The sequence below is a fragment of the Homo sapiens genome, chromosome 16, assembly GCF_000001405.40.
Source record: "Homo sapiens chromosome 16, GRCh38.p14 Primary Assembly".
NCBI classification, from domain to species: Eukaryota; Metazoa; Chordata; class Mammalia; order Primates; family Hominidae; genus Homo; species Homo sapiens.
Window position 1 is genome coordinate 24,918,562 of NC_000016.10, and position 26,637 is coordinate 24,945,198.

The 26,637-nt window shown below is 45.7% G+C and overlaps 1 protein-coding gene across 19 annotated transcripts in view; it reads right to left on the bottom strand.

The window, feature by feature from the left end:
• Positions 1–827: 827 nt before the first annotated feature.
• ARHGAP17 (Rho GTPase activating protein 17) overlaps positions 828–26,637 on the bottom strand; it is a 95,981-nt gene continuing 70,171 nt past the window's right edge. For 6 of the 19 annotated variants that reach the window (NM_001006634.3, XM_011545873.4, XM_047434315.1 and 3 more), the window contains 6 exons: positions 25,210–25,301; positions 23,426–23,582; positions 20,803–21,036; positions 16,909–17,078; positions 12,223–12,843; positions 828–1,699 (listed from right to left, as the gene is read on the bottom strand). In NM_001006634.3, coding sequence (NP_001006635.1) covers positions 1,569–1,699; positions 12,223–12,843; positions 16,909–17,078; positions 20,803–21,036; positions 23,426–23,582; positions 25,210–25,301 — 1,405 coding nt within the window. In that variant the 3' untranslated portion in view covers positions 828–1,568. Of the gene's footprint in view, positions 1,700–9,122; positions 9,172–11,051; positions 11,100–12,222; positions 12,844–16,908; positions 17,079–20,802; positions 21,037–23,425; positions 23,583–25,209; positions 25,302–26,637 lie in introns of those variants that run through there. The other 13 variants (XM_047434318.1, XM_047434316.1, XM_047434319.1 and 10 more) reach the window with 6 other exon arrangements.

Below are 26,637 nucleotides of genomic sequence, written 5' to 3' on the forward strand. Positions count from 1 at the left end.
AGTTGGGAGGATCATTTGAGCCTAGGAGTTTGGAGGCTGCAGTGAGTTATGATTGTGCCACTGCACTCCAGCCTGGGCCACAGAGTGAGATCTGTTTCAAAAAAACAACAAAAGGAAACTGTGGTTCCCCTTTTTAAATCAGGCTTAAGTCAGTTCGTAGTGGAAAGAGGCCCAGTGTCTTCTAGGCAGTGACTTAGACACTGACACACCTAGCAAACTCGATCAATAGAAGGCTCAGGGCAGCCAACTCTGGCAGCGTGTCCCACTCTGTTCCCAAGAGAAAACGGCCTTATCTGGGCCAAGGGGTCGTGCTATCGTCAGACCAGCTGTCCAGAGCCTCAGTCTCGCTTTGCTCCAATTCCCCATCGGCTCTTCCCTAGTATTTCAATCCTGGGAGAGACGGGATAATTTTCACGCCTTGGATAGGGCATGAAAGCACCAGCCATTGGAAAAAGGGCTCTCTATGGCAATTCACAACTGCTGACGAATGCACCAACCCGGTGGGGCTGAACTCCTGTGAGCTGCCCCCGGGAGTCTGAGTATCTCTAGATGGAAAGAAAGGGATGCCAGCACTGGGAGGACCAAGGGTGCAGCCTTGACCAGAACCTGCACTGAGGATGGCCAGGCTAGGAGGTCTTTGGGGCACCTGGCGGCCTTTTTCACTGTTGCGACCTTGCTCTCTGTTTCTTCAAACTCCTACAGCTACAATTAGACCCTCTCCCCCAAGATGTCCCAGCCACAATTCTATCTGGTTGAGTGGCAACACACACACACTCATGCACACACACACACACACACTCCACAATTTACCTCCAAGAATTATGAAGTTTTCATATAAACCACAGAATATATTTAATTCAAATTAAACATGAAACTAGAATAATGTTCGGTCCTTATCAAGTAGCAATTACATTGTTTAAAAAAAAAAAAAAGAACAGTACATTTCTGTCTACATTCCGACAATCCAACGAGGCGGCATGGGTCACATCCAGTTTGATGAGGTGACAGAGCCAGCAGTCACCATCCATGGGCATGGTTCTGAGGGGACTGGGGAGACACAGACCATACATGATACAAAATGATTCTGCAGCAAGTCTGAAGGAGCGCAGCCTCCCTCCTAATACATAAGAATGAACGTCCAGGTAGCAGAGAGTAGGCGACTTGCATAATGAGCGCATTTTATTAAATAGATAGTTAACGCACTGCTTCTTACTCATTCCAAGTTGCTGTAGGTGCTGCCCGCATTAACAGCAGGGACAAAAGCTTCCTATGCGCGTTTCAGCAGGAATACTCTCTCCACTCCAGGTACTTCTTTGTTTTGGATTTTTTTGGCATGATTTCCTTCCCATGTAAAGAAAGCCAACTTCTTCAAGACACAGGTCATTCAGCTTTAGTGGTGGCCTCCAGGTTCTCCTTGGGCCGTGCAGAAGGCCAGGTCCCGCACAGTGAGGCCCTCCTTTGTCCTCCACTGAAAGCTTTTCACTGTTCGGTCTGCAAAGAAAGAGGTTCGCCTGCCCCTGCTCCACTCGCCAGGGTGGAAGTGGTGGAGGGCTGGGAAAGGGCTTTCTTCACAGGGCAGTGCTCTCGGTATCATTGTCTATATCCAGCAGGATGCGGCCAGGCACGTCTTTGCTGGCTGAGTCTGAGTGCATTTCAGGAAAGATGCTGCGATGCGGTTCTGAAACCCTGGAATTGGAGTCTGGACAAAAACACGAGGAGACATGGTATCAATGAGGGGTAACCCCCGAGAGGCCACCTGAGGGTGCTCTGAGAAGAAGAGAGGCTGGGAAGTTTCAGGGTCAGCCCATGCACACAGGGTCCCTTGCGAGAGGCCTCATCAGCTCTTAGAAGCCAAGTGAAGCCTTTGTGACCCCAGAGGGCAGCTGAGTAGCACAGCCTTGCCTCTGGGCTCCGACGTTGCTTGCTATGAGCCCGGAGCAGCCCTTGGAGATGCAGCTTTTAAAGGATTTGCTTGCTTTGATGGAGGAAAGGAAGCCTCATTCTTCCCAAGACCTCTAATGCATGAGATGAACCCTCCTGATGGCCCCTGGGCTGCCCTGGGAAGAGGTCTCTCCTCCAGACTGCTGGGTTTTCCTCCTGTTACTAACACTAGGACCTCACCCTCAGCACCAGCAACATTTGGGCCTGAATTATTTGTTGTGGTTGTCCTGTGCATTGTAGGTGTCACCCAACAGATGCCAGTGACATGCAGCCTCCTCCCCCAGTGTGACAACCGAAAGTGTCTCCTGTACATCACAGATCACTGGGGAAGTTTAAACTAAAATGTCTCCAGATGCTGCCGAGTGTCCCCTGGGGAATCACAATCACTGCTGACTGACATCACTGAGGCAGACCAAGTCTCCTGCAAACACTAACATCCCCTTGTCTGTCTAATACACCTCGAATGCCATTTTCATGTCTTATTATGTTGGCTGAAATTCCTTCAGCAAGATGGCAAACATATGGTCCTCATGCTGTTGTCCCCCTCTCCTATGCTCTTCCCAGAGGCCAGTGGGTCTCAGATTCATTTATGCATGAACAAATATTTACTGAGCACCTCCCAGGTGCCAGGCACCATTCTACCTGCTGAGGACGCAGCACTGAACAAGACAGGCACAGCCTCAATGAAGCCCACGGTCAAGTGGGCAGACCAAGGGGATCCTAATTAAGACAAAAGGGCTGGCTTCTCTCGTAGATGTGGGTTCTGGCAAATTATGAGAGCCTCATTAGGTATTTTAGGGCTGGTGTAAGAGAGAAGAGAGATGTTTTGTAGTTTTGCTTTGCTGCGTTAGAGGTAGCCATGGCAGGCAGCAGTGAGGGAGTGGGAGGAGGAGGTGGTTTGTGGGGGCGTTTCACAGTTAGGCTTGAGAGCTGCTTTCCCCTACTTGCTGTGGTGCAAAATGACATCCTGTCTGTCCTTGACGGGAGCTAGTTTTGACTATATTTCTGTTCGACCTGCTCCCGTCTACGCAGGCACAGCTTGAAAACGCTGGTGCACTTTGGGGAAGCTCACTGCTTGGAGACTTGTTCCAGCTCCTACCCCTTCCACCTTCCTGTCCCTACAGTTCTGAGCTGTGAGATCTATTTACTCCCTGGGACACCCTTTTTCTCACAGTTACTCCTGGGTTGTCCCTCAAGGTTTCCTATGCACCACAACTCAGAGAAATTTCTAGATTTATGGAGGTGCCAAAGTGTCAAAGAGTTCAGGTGCTGAATGTCATTTCAGACAATTCAGGTCTTGTGATAACTATAAAACCAATGACACTGTGCAGAACTGCACCAGCCTATGGTGCAGCCAAAGGTGGTCTGTATGCACAGAATAGGGGCTGTCTTGGATTTGTCCTAAGCAGAACAGAAGTCAACGAAGGCAGGGACTGTGTCTGTCTTGTTCACAGTGTATCCTCAGTACCTAAAACAGTGACCGGCAAATAGCAGATGTTCAAGAAATTTTGTAGCTGCACACTTGGATGGTTGGATGGATGCATGAAGAGTCATCTAGAGCAACCATCTTTCCAATCCTCCATTCTTACATCCTCAGGCAAAGAAGTAGCTGTGACTTGAAGACGACGTATAAGAAAATCACTGCAAATGCAATCCTTTCCCCATTATCTTGGCCCCCAAAAACAGAAGGGGCTACCAGCCCGTGTCTCTTCTCAGCCCAGAGTTTACCAGAAACTATGGAACCGACATGACTTGGCGGGGAATGCATGATGCAAAGGCACTGTGTATACGGATGAGATTTCTACTTGTTAATATCTGTATTCACATGCAAGCTAACGCCTATCAGCCACCAAGCCCCTCCACAGCTGCTCTCTTTTTCTTATACATCACATATACATAATTTTTAGATTTGTGCCTCTCTGAATTTTTCTATTTATGATCCACACACATTATTAATTCAAGGGGAAAAAATGTGTTTTGGGGCATAAAGGAAATCCCTTACTCTGCCGCCCACCTGCCCCATCTGGTTTCCCCAGCCCCTCTCTATTCCTACATGAATCAGTCCCTGAAAGAAACAATGACTTTGTTTACACACAAAAAGTAGAAAGAATTACGGCAACCTGTACAGAACCAGTTTTCAGAAAGAGACTTCATCACAGTAGCTAACATTAAAAAAAAAAATTTTTTTTTTGAGATGGGGTCTTGCTCTTTTGCCCAGGCTGGAGTGCAGTCGTGCAATCTCAGCTCACTGCAGCCTCCACCTCCTGGGCTCAACTGATCCTCCCACCTCAGCCTCCCGAGTAGCTAGGACTACAAGCATACGCCACCATGCCTGGCTAATTTTTTTTATTTTTGGTAGAGACAAGGTTTCACCATGTTGACTGGGCTGGTCTTGAACTCCTGGCCTCAAGCAATCCTCCCACCTCGGCTCCCCAAAGTGCTGGGATTACCAGCATGAGCCACCACACCCAGCCTCAGTAGCTGACATTACTATAGAGCACTTACTTACACCAGAGACTGTACTATACACCCACACTTTATTACATCGTCTCACTGAACCCCCACTAACTAATCCTAAGGCAGCAGAAATAAGAAAGGGAGACTCAGAGGCTCTATTCCTTGCCCAAGGTGACACAGCCAGTGTGGACCAAAGAGGATCAAAGCCAGATTGGTTGCACTCTGGCTCTTCGCATTACATTTTCCCTCCTCCCCAGAGGAGTCTGTAAATCCCTGGGTGAGGGCCTTCAAAGACATTATCCAAGATCATTGTTTCAGTCTTACAAACACTCTGGTTTGTTGTAAAAAGGAGAAAATGGTTATTTCAGAAAGACACCTGTAAGAACCTGGTTTGTCTGAAACACCTCTAAATCTTTCTGGCTATGAACTCGTATATTAACTGCACTCCAAGAAGGGCTGGTTTCTGAGCATATGCTTGGAGCTAAGTTCATACAAAAGATATTGTATTTAAAAAAACAAAATAGGCTGGGCGTGGTGGGATGATGGTGTGAGCCCAGAAGTTCGAGACCAGCCCAGGCAACATGAGACTCCGTCTCTATAAGAAAAACACAAAAATTAGCCGGGTGTGGTGGTGCATGCCTCTAGTTCCACCTTCCAGCTACTTGGGAGATTCGCTTGAGCCCAGGAGGTCAAGGCTGCAGTGGACTGGAATCACACCGCTGCACTCTAGCCTGGGCAACAGAGCAAGACCCTGTCTCTCTTTTTTTTAAAAAAAAAAAAAAAAAAAAAGAGAGAAACAGAGGATGACCTCCAGTAACCAGCCTCAGCCCAAAGGCAGAACTTGATACAGTTCATCTCAGATTTGGGGCTCTGACAAATGTAACCCAGGTTCCTTCCTGCACTGAGTATCTCATCCAGGAAACAGAAGTGGGTATTTAAGAGCTAGAAGTGGAATGTTATCACTGAGGGTAAGGTTCTAGAAGATTTACTTATTACTTCAACAATTTTGAATATGTGCTTTCTCGGTTGTGAACTCACCCTTCAAGAAGTCCAAGGTGATTCTGATAGCCACTTTGACAAGTAACAGATCCAAATATGCCCTTGAAAGTAAGTGGTGCAGGCACAACTGCAGGGCGAATAAACTCCCTCCCCCTCTCCACCACCCATCCCTCTTCTCAGACCTAGAGTCTCAGGGAATGCCTTCCTTCACCAGTGAACGGTTTGAGTCTTAAACACTCTGGTTGATTGTTGTAAAAAAGAGATAAAGGTTATTTTAGAAAGACACTTGTAAGAACCTGGTTTTCTTTAAACACCTCTAAACGTCTCTGGCTATGAATTTATATATTATTTGCATTCCAAGAAGGGCTGGTCTTTGAGCATACTGCTTGGAGCTAAGTTTATATGACAAGTATTATATTTCAAAATTAAAAAAAAGCAAAAAATCAGACAAAAAAGAAACCTTTTATTGGAGGTCTCTTTTCTGTTTTTTTTTTTTTTAAATAAAATATCTACTGTATGAACTTAGTTCCAAGCAATATCCTCAAAGACCAGCCCTTGGAAGGCAGAGAATATATAAATTCACAACCAAAGAGGTTTAGGGTGCTTTTAGAAAGCAGGTTCTGGCTGGGTGTGGTAGCTCATGCCTGTAATCCCAGCACTTTGGGAGGCCGAGGCAGGCAGATCACCTGAGGTCAGGAGTTCAAGACCAGCCTGGCCAACATGGTGAAACCCCGTCTATACTAAAAATACAAAAATTAGCCGAGCACGGTAGTGAGTGCCTGTAATCCCAGCTACTCAGGAGGCTGAGGCAGGAGAATCGCTTGAACCTGGGAGGTGGAGGTCACAGTGAGCTGAGATCGCACCACTGCATTCCATTCTGAGCAACGGGGTAAGACTCAGTCTCAAAAATAAAAAAAAATAAAAAAAAAAGCAGGTTCTAACAGGTGTCTTTCTAAAATAACCTTTTTCTCCTTTTTACAATGTAATACCTGTCATATAAACTTAGCTCTAACCAGAGTGTTTAAGACCCAAACCATTATTTCCTCAGATAATGTCTTCACTTTCAGGATCCTCACCCAAGGATATACACAACTCTTTTGGGAAAGAGGGAAAATGTTAGGGTGATTAAGAATGATGGGGCCAGGTGCGGTGGCTCATGCCTGTAATCCTAGCACTTTGGGAGGCAGAAGTGAGTGGATCACTTGAAGTCATGAGTTGGAGACCAGCCTGGCCAATATGGCAAAACCCTGTCTCTACTAAAAATACAAAAATCAGCCAGGTGTTGCCACACCTGCCTATAATCCCAGCTACTTGGGAGGCTGAGGCAAGAGAACTGCTTAAACCAGGAAGGCAGGGGTTGCCGTGTGCCAAGATTGCACCACTGCACTCCAGCCTGGGTGACAGAGCAAGACTCTGTCTCAAAAAATACACAAAATAAATAAACAGAAGAATGACAGTCCAACCAATCTGGCTTTGATCCTCTTTGGTTGAAGTAGAATTGTGTAATTTTATCAGGAACTGATGATTTCTCGTCAGTTTTCTAGGGCTATTAGAGACTCTGAGTCAACTATTCAGGAGTGATTCTGTTCAAGTCTCACTGGATGTTATCTTGACACAATTCTGATTATCTACTTATTAAAAATAAACTGCAAGTAGAAACAGAAGCCACTTAAATATCCAACTAGGAGTAATAATACATCTGGTTGATGAAACATTATGTAGTCACTGAAAAACATGGTTCTAAAAATTACATTATCACATGAGAACGAGCATATGATGTAAAGTGAAATAAAAGGATCCAAATCTGTCTATGTCAAATAATTATGCTCATGTACCTCCTTGCCTTCTAGAAAAACTAAAAGAAAAAAAGGGGCGGGTGTGGTGGCTCACGCCTGTAATCCCAGCACTTTGGGAGGCCGAGACGGGCAGATCACAAGGTCAGCAGATCGAGACCATCTTGGCTAACATGGTGAAACCCTGTCTCTACTAAAAATACAAAAAATTAGCTGGGCGTGGTGGTGGGCGCCTGTAGTCCCAGCTACTCGGGAGGCTGAGGCAGAAGAATGGTGTGAACCCAGGAGGCGGAGCTTGCAGTGAGCCAAGATCGTGCCACTGCACTCCAGCCTGGGGAACAGAGTGAGACTCCGTCTGAAAAAAAAAAAAGAAAAGAAAAGAAAAGAGAAGAGAAGAGAAGAGAAGAGGAGAAAAGAAAAAAAGTAGAATATAAATGGCAGACTTTTTCAATTGTATAGCTACAGTTGATTTCTTATTATTTCCATTTCTCAAGAGTTTTAATATCCATGCTTATTTTTATTTATTTGAGACAGAGTCTCACTCTGTCACCCAGGCTGGAGTGTAGTGGCACGATCTCAGCTCACTGCGACCTCCACCTCCTGGGTTCAAGCAGTTCTCCTGCCTTGGCCTCCCAAGTAGCTGGGATTACAGGCACCCACCACGACACCCAGCTAACTTTTTGTATTTTCAGTAGAGATGGGGTTTCCCCATGTTGGCCAGGCTGGTCTTGAACTCCTGACCTCAAGTGATCCACCCGCCTCAGCCTCCCAAAGTGCTGGGATTACAGGCGTGAGCCACCGTGCCCCAGCTCATGCTTATTTTTAAAAAGGCATTACTTACATGACATAAGAAGGGTGAGAGTTTAAAAAGCAAACACTATGAAATTAGCCAGCAAAGTGTCCAGGCTTATGGCTACTTTGTGAGTGATTTGGTCTATCTGTGGTACAGTGGACTAACGCCTCACAGACAGTCTCAGGCTCACTAAATTATATGAATGTATATGTTATCTCCTTCTGCAGAGCATTGTCTTTTTAACCCATGAAAGAAGTGAGATTCAAAAAACCAAGTGGTGCATCAGAATCAAAATATGGATACCTGGGTTCCACCCCCAGTCTCCTGTGTTTGGGTCCTAGAAGGCCGGGTCCGGGCGTATGAGTTTTTAAAACCCTGATATGTGAATCTAACATAGAAATCTGATTAAAACTATTTTCTTCTAGATAAAAATGATAAATAGCAGGCCAGGCACAATGGCTCACACCTATAATCCCAGCACTTTGGGAGGCTGAGGAGGCCGGATCACCTAAGGTCAGGAGTTCGAGACCAGCCTGGCCAACATGGTGAAGCCCCGTCTCTACTAAAAATAAAAAAAATAGCCAGATGTGGTGGCAGGCGCCTATAATCCCAGGTACTCAGGAGGCTGAGGCAGGAGAATTGCTTGAACCTGGGAGGCGGAGCTTGCAGTGAGCCGAGATTGCGCGTATATTAAGAACTGTAACTGGCTAACAGAATAATCTTGGACTTTCTCTTATTTCATCTTCAACAATTTAGACAGATGTCACCACTTTACAGATCAGCCAGGTTGTGCCTAGCCTATGTTATACCAAGAGCTGAAATTCTAACTCAGTCAGGTCTGACTCCATAATGTGTGTTCTTCCTACTATACCTCAAGCTTGCCTGATATGGAAAAGAATGGAAATTAAAGAAGTAACAAGGACAGCCCTGTGACCACCTGTTCCACATCTGGGTACACACTTAGTATTCCGAATCATTGCAGCAAGCATCAACAAAGCCAGTCCTCCTTCAGTGCATGCACTATTAGTAGGGATGCAAGCAGGCAGGGTTAGGGTGGCCAGTTAGTAACAGGCATGAGTGCACAAATATGATCATCAAGTAGCAAAAATGCATTGGCCAATCAGGTGCCTTTTCCTTACCATTAAATATTCCAATCTCAGTTCTTACTGAATATGGCAGGTCATACATCTAAATTATTTAATAAAATGTTTAAATTAGAATACTCTTTGCTAAAATCTATTACTTCAAAAATAGCAAGATGTAAACTCTTTTACATGGGAATTAAAACTCTTACTGCTCTCTAGAGTCACAATTAACAGGAGACTCAAAATGATGCCAGAATGCCGGCATCCTCCAGTGCTGGTGCTGAGCTGTGAGAAGTTGGCTGCCAAACCTGCTTGGCAGCAATAATCTCCCCCCAAGAGTTTATCTTAATCCCATTAGCCTTAACCCAACTCTTTAAAACTCTAACTTAATCCAATTCTAAAGGAATAACCTGTTTTCAGGAATTTGTCCATCTAAAGTTTTCTAAGTGAAAACATTATGTCATAATAAAGGACCATCCTGTCCAAGGAAGTTATATATTTTTTCCTCCTTGAAAAACCCAATGGCTACATCCAAGAATGGTTAATAGCAGTATGATCAATACTAGCAGATTAAAAAATTCTAAATGTTGGCCTTCTGTGTACTTTCAGTGGGAGGCCAGGGGATTTTAAGATAGTACAGGTTAATTCTGTAATACAAAGATAACTCTGGTAACCTGGAATTTCTTGAGTTAGGAGAATTCATAGCATAGACCGGTTTTTAAATAGCTAGTATCTTCGGGAAACACATTTTTAATGTAAAATTTCACTTATCTAATAATTACAGGCAGTATATTACAGTGTTGTAGCAGATCAGTAAACTAAACTTGTGGAATAAATACACCCCGGGTAACAATGGTATTAAAAAATAGGCATAATTCTGGTTTGCAATCTTTCATTTAAATAAAAGGAAATATCTGATAATAACATTTTGGTGTGTCACAAGCATGAAATTGTGGAATCGCACCCGGGCCTCCTCCCTGTTTTGAAGGCTACACTCTGGTTTTCCACTTACGGTTCCTACAGAAAGTCTTACTCAGACCTAAGCTGTGAGCACTCTGGCTAAGGGGCCCACAGTAGGCCTAAGGCTCAGGCCAGCTGATTAAAGCAGCTGTACATATGATGAGGGCCTTATGCTGTCCACATGTAGACCCAGCGGCAGACTTAGATGAGCTCACAGTGCCTTTTAAAAAGCTCATATGGTTTAATAAAGCAAAACGTAAGCATGCTAGGATGCAAAGGAATTTAAAATAATTCAGTGTAGGGTATTTGGCGGAAGATTTTTTTTAATTTTTTGGTCTTGAGAATTTAAAATATCAAATTAAGAAGCTCCATGCAGTTAACTTGCACTTAAAATACAAAAATTTAAAATTAAAGCTCAAGACACAAAGGACACAATTTCCTCCCGTGCTGACTGCACCTGGGTCCTCTTTGGTTGGATGCTGGTGAGCCCATCAGTGACAGGTAAATCACACTGGGAAGAGTAGACTGCTGCTAAGAGGCTCACCAAAAAGATAGAAGATATTCCTTTTTTTTTTTTTTTTTAAAAAGAGGCAGGGTCTCACTCTGTCATGCAGGCTGGACTGCAGTGTGCAGTGACACAATCACTACCCACTGCAGTCTCGAACTCCTGAGCTCAAGCAATCCTCTTGCCTCAGCCACTCAAAGTACTGGGATTAGAGGCACGAGCCACTGTGCTTGGCCCCTAAGAAAGAAGATACTCTTCAAGAGCAGCTTGAAATCAGGCTCTTGATCTACTGACATCTACTCCTCGAATTTGAAGCACTGCAGCTCAAAGTGCTTCTGATAAAAATAAAGAAATGTCAATATGCTACAGAATGGATGGCCTATTGGCTGTCAGGGCACACGGTCAAACGGCTGCTCCTGAGCACATGGTCAAAAGCACATATGCAAAACACGGCTAAGCAGGAGCATTTGGAGCTGTGGGGCGAGCTATGGGGCAAGCTGCTCGGGGCCATTACAGACCTTAGTCCTGGAAACCTTCCCCACCTGTGAGGGCACTAGGAAGGGCATCTATTGGGAAACAAAACAAACAAACCAACATGGCTTTGTTGTTTTCAAAATAAAAGCTCTGATGGCATCAGAAAAAAAGTTATTAACCATTTATAACATGTGCAAATTATGTATTATATTCCTGAAAAAAGTTATCAAAAGCTGTTAGAATCAGTTAACCGTCACCCTTTGGGTTAATGGAAACCTTGGCACATTTTTAGCTGCAAAGTCACTCAATATGGTTGGAAAGCCCAGAGGTGTATTTCAGCTTCTTTTCCGAAAGTGCCTCCACTTAGAACAATTTAAACTAGGCTGCTGTAAGAAATTATTTGAGGCCCCTAATTACCATTTTTAAAAACACACTAGAAACCCCCATATTCATCCTTAAATTAAATAATAAATTAGAGCATTTGGGATGGAAATATTCTTGAAATGTTAAATAAAATGGTCATGTTCTAGACTATTAAAAATATGCCATTAGGTAGCCCACTAAAACCTGTACAATCACCACCACTTCCAAACAGGTTCCCACTGGGTCTACAGGAAAATCTTGATTCTTCCCTCCCAAGCCATTAGAACATGACAGTGCCCTGAGATCTCCCTTCTGGAGCATTCAATTTGGCATAAATCATGTTTTTTAAAGTTATACCTGAAATTCTGTACTTAATATGAACACTTTTACTCTTAGAAGTACTGTTTAAGCATTTTAATGAGGAATTCACTAAGAAATAAAGTTCATGCTCGTGTTGTAAAATACCTTCCACCTGGAATAAAAGCCATTATGTTGAGAAAAATGTAAACGTACATAGGTCTTAAACACACAAGCAACTATAAGTCAGGGGTCGGCAAACTTAAAGGACCAGGCAGTAAATGTTTCCAACTTTGTGGGCCACAGGATCTTTGGTCACGACTACCCAGCTCTGCTGTTTCAGCACCAATGCAGCCACAGACAATATGTTAACAAATGGGTGTAGCTGTGTTCCAATAAAACTTTAATGACAAAAACTGGCTGCAGGACAGGTTTGGTTTGGCTTGCGGGTGTAGTTTGCTGACACCTGGCATAAATCAAAGCTTAAATAAAATGTAGTAGTACAAAAGCAATGTAGAGCAGACGAGGAAATACGGGCATTGATGTCCTACTTACCTGTTACTATCTTGGAAGCTGTTGGTGCTGTGTTGGTGAGGCTGCTGTCCCCAGCTGAGTGGACACCAGGAGGTTGGGGGGGTGGGGGCACGCTGGGCCGGTTCCTTGGCTTTGGTACTGGTCTCGGTCTCGGTAAGGTTCCAGCATGTGGCTGTGCAGTTTCAGGGTTACCCCCTGCCAGGGTCTGAGGAGCTGGCAGACTGGGGTTCTGTTTTCCTAGGGGCGGAGTACTGGGGGGCGTTGGAGTCTGGGGAGGGGTGTGAGATGGCTGCTCAAGTCCATGCTCACTGGGCAATGCCATGGGGTTGGGAGGGCCCTGGCTATTGGGTTTGGTGTGCATCAGTGGCGTGGCCTGCGTAGGGGGCTGCGGCGGTGGGTGATTGGGAGCTTGGATTGGAGACAAGCTGCTGGAGTACCTCCGGGGTGCTGAGAGCTGGGAGGGGGCGGAGGGCTGGCCTGGAGGCTGGCCCGTGTGCTGGGTGGGAGGAGAGGGGCTTCGGGTGGGTGGCTTTGGTGACAGACTGGGTGGATGCTGAGATGTTCCTGAAGAACTCTGGCCCCCGGGGTGGCCAGGAGGTGGGTTGCCCGGTTTCGGGGGTGCTGGAGCGGGTTTTTTAACAGCTGCACAAAAAGAGAAAAAACACCTTTCAGTAGGAACAGTGAGGCAGCAACCAACCCTGGCCAGGAGCCCAAATTTAACATCACCAGTAATAAGGTACACCAGCATCATGTACCTCTGATGAGAGGTGGTCAGGAGGGCACCACACTGTGTCTTCCTCCCCAAAGCCCATAACCCATCAGAAGAACATCTGACAAACACAAATTGAAGGCCTTTCTTCAAAATGCCTGACCAGTACTCTCCAAAACCATCAAGGCCATAGAAAAGCACAGAAAGACGGAGAACATGTCACAGACAGCAGGAGACGAAGAAGATACGATGACTACATATAATGTGGGCTCCTGGATGAGATCCTGGGACAGAAAATGGACATGAGTGGAAAAACTAGGGAAATCTGAACAAAATGTGGAGTCTAGTTAATGGTAATGAACCGCAAGGTGCAGTGGCTCACGCCTGTGATCTCAGCACTTTGGGAGGCCAAAGCAGGCGGATCACTTGAGTGCAGGAGTTCAAGGCCAGCCTGAGCAACGTGGCAAAACCCCATCTCTACAAAAAACTACAAAAATTAGCCGGGCGTGGTGGCATGCGCCTGTAATCCCAGCTACTCATGAGGCTGAGGTGGGAGGATCCCATGAGCCTGGGAAGTCCAAGGCTGCAGTGATCACACCACTGAATTCCAGCCTGGGCAACAGAGTGAGACCATTTCAAAAAAAAAAAAAAAGTTGGGGGGGATGGGGGGACTAGCCCAATGTTGACTTCTGAGCTGGGGTAAATGTGCCATGGTCATGTAACACATTAACAACAGGGGAAACTGAGTAAGGGGCATATGGGAACTCTCAGCATTATCTTTGCAACTTTTCTATAAATTCAAAATTACTCCAAACAAACAAGTTTATTTTAAAAATTAAGTACATTATGCACATTTGAAAGGGCTTTAAAGGCCTATCGTTTTGAAAGTTCAATAAGAAGAAAACTGTTAACAGAGGCCACCCCAATGACACGGAAGTGCTGCCCTCAGCCCACTTAGCAGCCTCCTCATTAGGGCCCCATGGGAAGACGCAGAAAGAGGCAGAACAGCCAGGAGGGACCACCAAGCATGACTAGTTCACCCTGATATAACATGACCCCTGATCCCAAGCCACCTTCTCCTTGAGAGTTTGATTGGTTTGATTGGTCTTAATAACAGAATTTCTACCAATTCCGCAACCATTTGAGTTAATAGATATGTCCTGGACAAAAGCATGAATAAATCTGGAAGAGTTGCCTTAGAATTATTTCTCTAAAGAGAGCTGAATCACATCACTCTCCTCCCTACACCAGCTGAGATCAGGGATAGGAACCTGGGACTGATGAGGGCAGGAGGGAAAACAACAGATCTGGGGCTCTGGTTTTGGGCTGGGAGGGGTAGGGGGAAAGGAGAGATTTTAGCCTTTTTCAAACTCTGCTAAGATCCTACTGGTTCTCTAAGAAAGAAGGAGAAGGAAATGAAGGAAAGAAATGAACATGTATCACTCTTATCACCAGTACCAAGTAAGGCCTTTTATATAAATTATGCACATTATAATTTATATAAATTATCTCATTCAAGTTTCATAAGCTCATTGCAGGGCAAGCTCTGTTATCCCCATTTTCACAGAGAAGAAAACTGAGGCTTGAAGAGGGCCAGTGTTTGGTAATAGGTCACACAGCTAGTAAGGGGCAGAACTGAGACTCCTGCCCATGACATGTGGACTCCCTGAATGCTTTTTCCTCTTCCTCCTTCCCCTATTCCCCGGCTGCCTGTTTACAGGGCCCAGAATTCAGGATTGAAAAGGGTAAAGTCTCGGTGGCTCATGCCTGTATTCCCAGCACTCTGACTGGCTGAGGCAGGAAGATCACTCAAGACCAGCCTGGGCAACACAGTGAGACCCCGACTCTACAAAAAAATAAAGCAGCCAGGCATGGTGGCATGTGCCTGTAGTACCAGCACTTTGAGAGGCCAAAGTGGGAGGATCACTTGAGTCCAGTGGCTGGAGGATGCAGTGAGCTATTATCACGCCACTGCATTCCAGCATGGGTGAGAAAACGAGACCCTGCCTCTAAAAAACATAAGAAAGGAAAAAAAAAAAGAAAAAAGGGTAAAGTCTACTCTGCTACACTGGTCTGGAACTTTCAACCCTGGAACTCAGAAACCACCAACCAGCTTACATTAGCTGTACTCCAGACTGCCATCGGCATTTAAAAAAAAAGTCTAGTTTTCTGTTCTAAGCAATACTAATTGTAAAGTCATACTGAATAAAAGCTCGTTCCTGAAATTTAAGGGTGTGAAGAGGATGGGGAGAGGGAGCGTGGGAGCAAAGTGTCAGGGGGAGGGGGCTGGGAGAAATGGAGGCCTTGTCTGAGACCACCTCAGAGGCGCAGGGGGTGGGGAAGGAAAAAAGAATCAAACCCATCCTGCGAAGAAGCCTGGGAGCTGTGATTTCGGGAAGCATGAAAGACTCTGAATGCGGCTATAAGGAAAAGAGTCTTCTTAATCCAAAACCAGAGTCACACCTGGAATCTAGGTCCAGAAGACTAACTTCCCTCAAGGATCAGCTGAGATCCTGATAAGATGACAGGGCCCAGAGAGGCAGCCTGAAGAAGAATAAAGTGGGGGTCTGCAACCAAGCAGTGGACTCGGATTTGCCTCCCTGCCTATGATTTGTAGAAATTCCACTAACATTTGTGTAGTGCTTTGTAAAGACCATGCTTCTATAGACAGACACAGTGAATTTAATCCATTTTTTTTTCTTTTTTCGGGACAGAGTCTTGCTCTGTTGGCCAGGCTGGGGTGCAGTGGCACAATCTTGGCTCACTGCAACCTCTGCCTCCCAGGTTCAAGCAATTCTCCTGCCTCAGCCTCTTGAGTAGCTGGGACCACAGGCGTGCAAGCACCATGCCCGGCTAATTTTTGTATTTTTAGTAGAGATGGGGTTTCACCATGTTGGCCAGGCTTGAACTCCTGGCTCAAGTGATCCACCCACCCCGGCCTCCCAAAGTGCTGGGATTACTGGTGTGAGCCACTGCGCCTGGCCTCTCTTTTTTATTTTAGAGATGGGGTCTCACTCTGTTGTCCAGGCTGGAGTGCGGTGGTGCAATCATAGCTCACTGCAGGCTCGACCTCCTGGGCTCAAGTGATCCTCCTGCCTCAGCCTCCTGAGTAGCTGGGACTATAGGTGTGTGTCACCACACCCAGATAATTTTTAAAATTTTTTTTGTAGAGGTGGGCTCTCACTATGTTGACCAGATTGGTCTCCAACTCCTGGCCTCAAGCGATCTTCCTGCCTCAGCCTCCCAAAGTGCTGGGATTATAGGTGTGAGCCACCACGCCCAGCTGGAAGAAGTGATTTTTGAGGTGAGACCTGAATGGTAAGAAGAAACCATGTGAAGATATGGGACAGAATGTTCTGGAAGCCCTAAGGAGGGGATGAACTTAGTTCATTCAAGGAACCAAGAGTGGAGTGTGTTGAGAGGAGGGAGTGTAAGCTCTGGGCTCAGAGGTAGGCCCCACCAAAGCACAGAGAACCCAGGGTGAGAAGTTCGCATGGAAGCCACTGAAGAGTTTAACCAAGAGACGACATGATCTGCTTGGAGTTTTAAAGCAATTCCCCTGGCTGCTGGGTGGAGGACTGCAGGGAAGACAGGTGGGAGCAGTTCAGATTCTGTTAATCAGGACCTAGAAAGCCTTCACCCCAATTCCGAAGCAAAAGTGCCTCCCAGACCCACAAAGCTGAGAAGTACAGAGGCTGTGGTAGTCTCCAAACAGAGCGAGGGCTTGGGACACCAGGAAAACTGGGAGCATTTCTGCAGAACTGACTGTTTGTTAAGCTTTGTCACGCCTAAGGAAAAACTAAATGTCTGCTTTTCTGTTCTCTATTTTTTCCTTTTTCTTTAATGACTTTTCTCTTGAATGACTGAATTTTCTGCTTGGGATTTTACAACAGACATAGAAAAGATCTGGCCACAAACCTCACCATCTGAATCCTTGCACTAACTTAAGGAGGTCTGCACAGGCTTCCCTGAGGGCAAGGAGGACGGTGGCTGCTTACCTCGGCGCAGTGTATGCGGGCTGGGCCCTGCAGCATTGTGAGGTTGGCCCATGGAGAGCTGGTGGGAGCCAGCAGCTGCCTGGGGCTGATTTTGGCCAGATGCTATCTGACTGTTGTTTCTCCCTGGTGCTGGCACAGCTGCAGATACAGGGTCCTTCGGTTTGGGAGGACTAAGAGGAGTAAAAGTCAAGTTAGACGTCAGACAATCCCAGCTAGAAAATCTGAACATACTGCACATAAAACATAAGATTCCAAGCAGAGTTTTCACTTCGGCAGGCAGGAAAAGGATCTGAAATTCTAACTAGCTCACACTGGGCTTATAAAGCTAATGTTTACTTGGTGCCATATAAAGAGCTAATGTTTACTTGGTGCCATTTTTTTTTTAAGAGATGAGGTCTTGCTATGTTGCCCAGGTTGGTCTCAAATTTCTGGACTCAAGCAATCCTCTCCTGCCTCAGCACCCTGAGTAGCCGGGACTATAGGACTATTTATTTTATGAGATTCGTTGCATCAGACTGGACTCCAACGACTCTGCCACTCCAGTATCATCAGAGAGACCATTTCAAAGCAACCAATGCGGAGTTTTCAGTTCTACTGCGTTTGGACTTAAATTGGGCAGTACTTAATACCATGAAATGGCTTTTACATGTTGACATATACACTGTACAAAACTAAGCAAAAGCCATGGCAAAATAAGACCCTAAATGATAAAGGGCTTGATTATTATCAATAACTTGGACTGAAGAAGGAGAACTCAGAGGCTAAATGACTACTCGAAGTCCAGAGTTGGTAGCAGCAGGATAGAGATCAGAATTCAGGCTTCCTGTTTCCTGGCCCAGAACTTTTTATACCAAACTCTGTAGCTCCATTTTGTCAAGGTCACCAAAGAGTGAATAACATTAGTGTAATGTACATAAAAATACCTACAGAATACAGTATAAAAAACAAACAGCAGGCCAGGCACAGTGACTCACGCCTGTAACGCCAGCACTTTGGGAGGCTGAGGCACATGGATCACTTGAGGTCAGGAGTTCAAGACCAGCCTGGCCAACAAGGTGAAACCCCGTCTCTACTAAAAATACAAATATTAGCCAGGCGTGGTGGCGCATGCCTGTAGTCCCAGCTACTCTGGAGGCTGAGGTGGGAGAATCGCTTGAACCCAGGAGGTGGAGGTTGCCGTGAGTCAAGATCATGCCACTGCACTCCAGCCTGGCTGACAGAGCGAGATGCTGTCTCAAAAAAAAAAAAAGCAAAGTAACTGACATTCCATTTGTCCTTCTGCATTAAGACTAATTATTGTCTTAAATAATACATTTAGCCTTGATTAAACAAATGGAATGTCACAAGGAAATGAAAATATGTAAATTGGCTGGGCATGGTGGCTCATGCCTGTAATCCCAGCACTTTGGGAGGTTAGGGAGGGAGGACTGCTTGAGACCAGGATTGAAGACCAGCCTGGGCAACACAGTGAGACCTCGTCTCTACAAAAATTTAAAAAAATTAGCTGGGCATGGGGATGCACTACTATAGTCCCAGTTGGGAGGCTGAGGTGGGAAGATCGCTTGAGCCTGGGAGATTAAAAGGCTGTAGTGAGCCATGATCACACCACTGCCCTCCAGCGTGGGTGACAGAGCAAGACCCTGTCTGAAAAAAAAAAAACAACAAAAAACAGGCCGGGGCAGTAGCTCACGCCTGTAATCCCAGCACTTTGGGAGGCCAAGGCAGGTGGATCACTTGAGGTCAGGACATCGCGACCAGCCTGGCAAACATGGTGAAACCCCATCTCTACTGAAAATACAAAAATTAGCCAGGCATGGTGGTCCATGCCTGTAATCCCAGCTACTCCGGCGGCTGAGGCAGGAGAATCATTTGAACCCAGGAGGCAGAGGTTGCAGTGAGCCAACATTGCACCACTGCACTCCAGCCTGGGCAACAGAGCGAGACTTCGTCTCAAAAAATAAATTAATAAATAAAAATAAATAAAAATAAAAAACAAAACCAAGAAAAAGAAAATAAGTGAATTTGCTTAGACTTTTTTCCTTCAAACAAAAAAATTTAAACCAAAACAAGTACATGCATAGGGCACAATTATTGACAAGCTAACGTGCAGCCTATGAGGTGCACGGGAAGCCCTAAGAAGTCTGAAGTCTTAATTTTTTTTAACCCCAAAGTAAACTTTCCCAAGGTGAAGAAAATGGAATTCAGGAATGCACAAAGCATTCAGCATTCAGTTTTAATGGTGAAACAAGATTCCTATCTCACGAGCAGCTTCACACACAACAAGGCTCTCCCTTGCTCATCCCAAGGACGATGAGAAAGGAGTTCTTTCAAGGCAAATTCATCTCTCTGTGTGGGAAATAAACGTGTGGATAAACAGCCTGTCCTTGTTTTGTGCACATTTATTTTACTTCATATATGATCATTCGGTGTGTTGTGGATGGCCAATGCAGAACATATGACAACAAAAATTTTGGCACACATGTATGCAAAGCTAAGCAGCTGTCAGTTCCAAACCACAAGAGATGCCACCTGAAGTAGCCTCTGGTGGTCATCTGCCTGGATCAGTGTGGAGAACTGAATTAATGTCAATTAAATAAAAATCTCAAGTTATGGCTGGGCGCGGTGGCTCACACCTGTAATGCCAGCCTTTGGGAGGCCAAGGCAGGGGGATCACCTGAGGTCAGGAGTTTGAGACCAGCCTGACCAACATGGCGAAACCCTGTCTTTACTAAAAATACAAAAAAATTAGCCTGGCATGGTGGTGTGTGCCTGTAATCCCAGCTACTCCGGAGGCTGAGGCAAGAGAATCACTTGAACCCGGGAGACGGAGGTTGCAGTGAACCGAGATTGCACCACTGCACTCCAGCCTAGGCGACAGAGTGGGACTGTCTCAAAAAAAAAAACCTCAAGTTCAAGGTGACTTTTCTTAAAAGTTGCTATCCATTTGCAGCCCACTCCAGGTGGCTTATCCAAAGGTTAAGCAACTAAAAGAGCCTTTTAAGAAAATCTACCAGCTAGGCATGGTGGCTCATGCCTGTAATCCCAGCATTTTGGAAGGCTGAGGCAGGAAGATCACTTGAGGCCAGGAGTTCGAGATCAGCCTGGGCAACCTAGGGCATCTATGTTTACCCCATCTTTACAAAAATAAAAAAATTAGCTGGGCATGGTGACAAGCACCTGTAATCCCAGCTACTTGGGAGGCTTAGGTAGGAGGATTGCTTGGGCCTAGGAGGCGGAGGGTGCAGTGAGCTACGATTATGCCACTGCACTCCAGCCTGGGCAACAGAGCAAGACGCAGTCTCAGAAAAAAAAAAAAAAAAAAGAAAAAAGAAAAGCTACCATCTTATTTTCCACCTTGGACTCATGGATCAACTGCCCTACAAGACTGAAATCTGGGGGTGTGGAGTGGAGTCTTAGTCACCTCATGTGCCTAGCACATATCAGTGACTCAGTAAATCTGTTTCACTGAATCAATCAACGAATGGGTGAATAAATGCCAGGAATACGAAAATTTAACTAACTTGCCACACTCAAATGCTTCCTGGTTAGCACACTGGATGACAATGAACAGAAGGTACATGAATGCTGACAGTATACATCCAACAGGTGACAGAGGCTCATCACACTATGAGACATCCACTGGCTTCCGGTTTCCAGCACCAAAGCAGTGTGGCAAAGAATGCAAACCAATGTTGCTTTCTTTGGAAAACATAAAAAGAAGCGAGCCATTCATAGTCTTTTTTTCCATCTTTTGCCAACCAGAGGAGTGAAAGTAAATCTGTTCACTCCATGCTGGAGCAGTTCTTTGGGCATGGATGCCGTGCTCAAAGGCCACCACCTGCAAGAAGGCTGGGGCGTCCAGCCTCCACTGCCAGCAGAAGTCAGCCTCCTTACCTGCCGTCGCCTGGGCTCGGCCCCTGCTCCAGTATGCCCGCGGAAGAGGGGACAGTCCCACCCCCAGAGCTGCTTTCAGCCCTAGAGCTCTGGGGAGGGGGCTCTGGGCCAGCGGGCACCACGGTGCTGCCATCTGTGGGCGGAAGTGGCGGCTGGAAAGCGGGGGATATGTGCTTTCTATTTAGAGTGCCACCCCGCCGGTGGGCCTGGAAGTCCATAAGCTTCACACCAAAGCTACACAGAGAGAAGAAACAGTCAACACACCATGCGAGCAGACTACTGAGACAGAAGCCCATCGGTCCACATGTGTTAAAACCACACATGGGGATAGCCACCCAAGCTGCCCGGCATGCAGTGAAGCGGCAAGGACCAGACTAATGGCCACCCCTGAGCAACTCCACTCGGCTTCAAGCCTGAGCAAAGCCAATGAACCTGGTACTGTTCAATGTCTTTGATCAATTTGGGTGTGAGCAGCTAAAAGCAAATAGGCAGGCCTCATCTTGAATGACATCATGTTAGTGTGTTTATCCCCATACTTCCTCTGCTGTTTTTTTCCCCCTTTAGACATGTGGTCTCACTCCACCACCCAGGCTGGAGTGCTTGGCACTCCAGTGGAGCAATCATAGCTCACTACAGTGCCAAACTCCTGGGCTCAAACAATCCTCCAGCCTCAGCCTCTGGAGCAGCTTGGACTACTGGCACACATCACCATACTGGGATACTAAAAAAAAATTTTTTTTTGTAGAGATGCGGTCTCACTACATTGCCCAGGCTGATGTCAAACTCCTGGCCTCAAGTATTCCTCCTGCCTTGGTCTCTCAAAGTGCTGGGATTACAGGCATAAGTCACCACATCCGGCCTATTTCCATACTTCCTAGTTCCCATCTCAAATCTGTTTTTGGGGAATGACACAGAAGTCAAGTCCAGAAGGCCTACCAATGGCAGTGTAAGGTTATCACACCACACTGCCTCTTAACTGAGATGAGATGTAGAAACAATCCTATGTGCATATGCAGACTACATGTGAAAGGTACATAAGGCTGGAAAAGCTGGGCATGGTAGCTCACACCTGTAATCTTAGCACTTTGGGAGGACAAGGTGGGAGGATCGCTTTAGCTTGGAAATTCAAGACCAGCTTGGGAAACATCGTGAGGCCCTGTCTCTACAAAAAACTATTTTTTTAGAAAATTAGCTGCGTGAGGTGGTGCGTGCCTATAGTCCCAGCTAGTCAGGTGTGTGAGGTGGGAGGGCTGCCTGAGCCCAGGAGGTCAAGGCTGCTGTGAGCCATGATCATACCACTGCACTCTAGCCTGGGCACATAACCCTGTCTCAAAAAAACAAAAACCAAAAAGACTGGAAAAAGCCGTTGCTTTGGGGAAGGGAATGGTGGCTGGATGTGGCTGGAGAGGGTGGAAGGAAGGCTGACTTTTCACTTAAGGCGACTGATCTATGAACTTAACAACTTTTTCTTTCAGTTCAAAAAGTAAAAAGATACCTGGCTTCTTGAGCTCGTGCTTACTGGGTCAGCTGGCAGGGAGAATACACAAGGCAGGTAACTGAGAATTGTCTGTCACGTGCTAACTAGACTCATGCACTGTATTCTGTAACTTAAAATATATGAAAGCTAATTTTGTTACAGGTAGAGTCTGTCATCAGGAAATACTACTGAATGTATGAATGAGGGTTCAGAGAGGTAATACGTCTGCATAGAATAAATGTGGATTTTGGAAGGACAGAATAGGGACAGAATAATGCATTCTCCTTTGCTAGGGGTAAAAAATGCAATACAAAGAACAAGAAACAAACAGCACACCTCACTATAAGACTGAGCAATTAAAATAAGAGCTTGTCACTTCGTTTTAATGTAAAACTATTTCTAGTAGTATTATTTAATATACCAAGAAAAGCATATTACTTCCAACAGGCCTCTTAACTGTTAGCATTCCTAGTGAGTACAGTGGCATTTCATCACACACATGGGACAGGTTGGCATCCAAAGGCACAAATTACAAACAGTCTTAATCACCCTTGAAAATCCCATGAATTGCCCATAGAAAAGAGTATATAGAGACACACTGCTTCTCACTAAGTTCAACACTGCCATTTTTTTTTCTTCTAGAATTGGCAAATACTGAGGTTTTTCCCACTGAACATCAAATTCAGTGGTTGGCTTCCATTGTGGGGCCACATTATACCAGAAATATGTCTCCTTAAACGCCAAATCACTCAACTCACTGTGCCAGGTGGGTGTTCTCACACTCAATTCTGGACAAAAGTCCACACTATTGAATTTATTTTCCTTTCTGTTTCCCCCCACTCACGTACATCTGGGTCACTTTTAACATGTGTATGATGCCGTTCCACTGCAGGGCTTACCAAGCACACCACCAAGTTAAGCTGGAATACACGTGGAAGAAACGTTAACTGAGAAGCTACACACTGACTTTATGGTGAGATTAGTGCTTGGAATGACCTACAGCAGAATTCCAGAAACTATCTGGACACCATCAGTCATGGGTGGATGGCGACCACTCTCAAATCCCAAGTCCACTGAGCGATACCAGATACCACGGGTCTAACAACATATTTACTGCTGGTTTGGAAGTGAACGGTCAAATCATACCTTTCCTTCTTCACCAAGTCTCCTTCCATCACCGCCATGCTAGCAGGCCGCTTCCTCTCCAGGGTCCCCGAGTCAGAGTCGTTTCCAGTGTGGAATGAGTGATTAGAACTCGGGGTGGTGAGAGGTACAAATGCTTCTGATACATTAAATTCCACCTCTGCAAGAGGAAAAATAAACAAGTGCATGAGACACTGAGCACAGCAGGCGAGGGAGCTCTAAGACACCCCTCATTGGAACGGGAACCTCGTTCTTCAGTCCACAGCCCTCACTATTTCAAAGTGGAAGCTCCAGGCACTCACATCGCAAGAATGGTCCATCAAACCAGTGGGAAGTAATGTTAAGAGGACAAGACAGGGGAAGAAGTATGGGTCAGAATATAAGTTACACACTTTTGTGCTTTCTCTTTTGTGGAAAAAAAATAAATAAAAACAAATCTAGAATGTAGAAGAGGACGATGAGCACAGATCACTTATTTGAATCATTCAAAAAGAGACATTTAGCTGGGTGTGGTGGCTCATGCCTGCAATCTCAGCACTTTGGGAGGCCAAGGCAGGCGGATCACTTGAGGTCAGGAGTTCAAGACCAGCCTGGCCAAGAACGTGAAACCCCGTCTCTACTAAAAATACAAAAAATTAGCTGGGCATGGTGATGTATGCCTGTATTCCCAGCTACTCAGGAGGCTGAGGCAGGAGAATCGCTTGAACCTGGGAGGCAGAGGTTGCAGTGGGCCGAGATCGCGCCACTGCACTTCAGCCTGGGCGACAGAGCAAGACTCTGTCTCAAAAAAAAAAAAAAAAAGAGAGATATTTACACTTTAATATAAAATAGAAATAAAAGGCAACATCAAGTTCATACTGCCTTTAGCAGTTTTTGCAAGAATCATTTCCTCAAAGGAAACCTTGAGCAGAATGCTAGCATTCGCTCATCCATCCCATCCTCACTGGGCAACCTATATGAATGAGGCGTGATTCCTGATGGTGACAAAACAGTGGTAAAGAAAAGATGGGCTCAGTGGTGAGGGAAAGATGGGTATCATGGGGCTTGCACCCCACGGGACATGGCAGCAGGGTTGCTCTGGGGGAAGTAGGTGTGGGGGATCCGGAATTCCAACACTTGCCTGGCCAGCATCCCCAAAGGGGGCCATGGGAACCTCTGTGGATCCCAGAACTGCAACAAACCTAGTTTGAAAATCTATTGCCAGCAGGATGAAATACTAATTCCCTGACACAGCCAACTCAGGCCTTCACCAGCTGGCCCCGATCAACCTTTCCTGCTTTATCTCCTATCTATGGGCAAATCCATAATCTAGCTAGAGAAACAAGCCCTCTTCCAAGTGAAAAACTCCAGCATATTCAACATCGCCTCTTCTAAAAACCAATCCCTGGTTCCCTTTTCCCAGCACTTGAGTTTGTCAAATCTTTCTCCATCCACCTATCTTCTAATGTGCCTTGTGTTATAATTTATCTGTTCATGTGGCCATCTTCTCCAGTGGCCGGAGTTCCCCCAGGTAAGACGGCATGTTTCACCAGCAAACATATGGCACCCAGTGGGTATTCAACATACACTGACTGGCTATGTTTTAGTGAAACTAAGTGAAATACAATACAATATGATTACCATCATGTCAAAATACAAATGCAATGAACAAAGGCTGGAAAGAAACATGAAAAAGTGAAACCAATTACGTAATCATGAAGAAGGATTACAGATGTATTCTCTTAAGAAGACTTTTTGTACGATTATCACATTGCTTTGGCGGTCAATGAAACTGAAGTGAGAATTACCTTCAGGGAAGAACCAGTCGGCATGCTGAATGATGGGTTCAATCACTGCAACCACATGGACGGATGTGGCTGCTGCCATTTCAGCAAGTGTTCTGCAAAGCAAGTTCACAAAATTAAAATACTTCCTGTAGGCAGCATCTAATTTCTTCTGGTTGTGTCAGGGCAATTCAATTATTTTTAAAGGATAAAATATTTAAAAGATGCAAAAATCAAAATCACTGGCCGGGTGTGGTGGCTCACACCTGTAACCCCAGCACTTTGGGAGGCTGAGGCGGGCGGATCACAAGGTCAAGAGATCGAGACAATCCTGGCCAACATGGTGAAACCCCGTCTGTACTAAAAATACAAAAATTAGCCAGGCGTGGTGGTGCGTTCGCATAGTCCCAGCTACTCGGGAGGCTGAGGCAGGAGAATCGCTTGAACCCGGAAGATGGAGGTTGCAGTGAGCCAAGATCAGGCCACTGCACTCCAGCCTAGTGACAGAGCGAAACTCTGTCTCAAAAAAAAAAAAAAAAAATCAAATTCACATGGTCCTGGTCTATGAATGTGGCCGTGATCACCCAGGAAAAAATGACTCTGGCTTGGCTGCTCCTTAGTGTGCACTGTGATAACAACCACAGTGTCTGCTACACACAGACCCTGGGGGCAGCAAAACCAGTCAGTCAACAATGCTGTGTCAAATGCTGGTTTTAAACTGGTCTGTAAAGAGGGTTGCACTTTCCCACTGGAATAGCATCACACATGGGTGGTAGCTATGTTCTAAGACTAAAGATTACTAAAAAGCAATTTTGCCTACGATATCACCAAGAACATGCATTGTTACAGTGTGCCTTTTATTTTTTATTTTTTTATTTTTTATTTTTTGAGACAGAATCTCGCTCTATCGCCCAGGCTGGAGTGCAGTGGCGCTATCTCAGCTCACTGCAAGCTCCGCCTCCTGGGTTCACACCATTCTCCTGCCTCAGCCTCCCGAGTAGCTGGGACTACAGGCACCTGCCACCGCGCCCAGCTAATTTTTTGTATTTTTAGTAGAGACAGGGTTTCACGGTGTTAGCCAGGATGGTCTCGATCTCCTGACCTTGTGATCTGCCCGTCTCGGCCTCCCAAAGTGCTGGGATTACAGGCGTGAGCCACCGCGCCTGGCAAATGTGCCTTTTATTATGTTGAAACCTGAGCCTCCCATTCACACGTAAGGTCATCATATATGTGGACTAGTCTCAAGATGAGTGTTCAGATGTTAATAGTGTCTGACGCCAAGGCTCAAAAAGAAGAAAATAAGTAGGCCAGACGCAGTGGCTCACACCTGTAATCCCAGCACTTTGGGAGGCTGAGGCAGTTAGACCAGGAGTTCAAGACCAGCCTGGACAACATAGTGAAATCCCATCTCTACAAAAATACAAAAATTGGCCAGGTGTGGTGGCATGCATC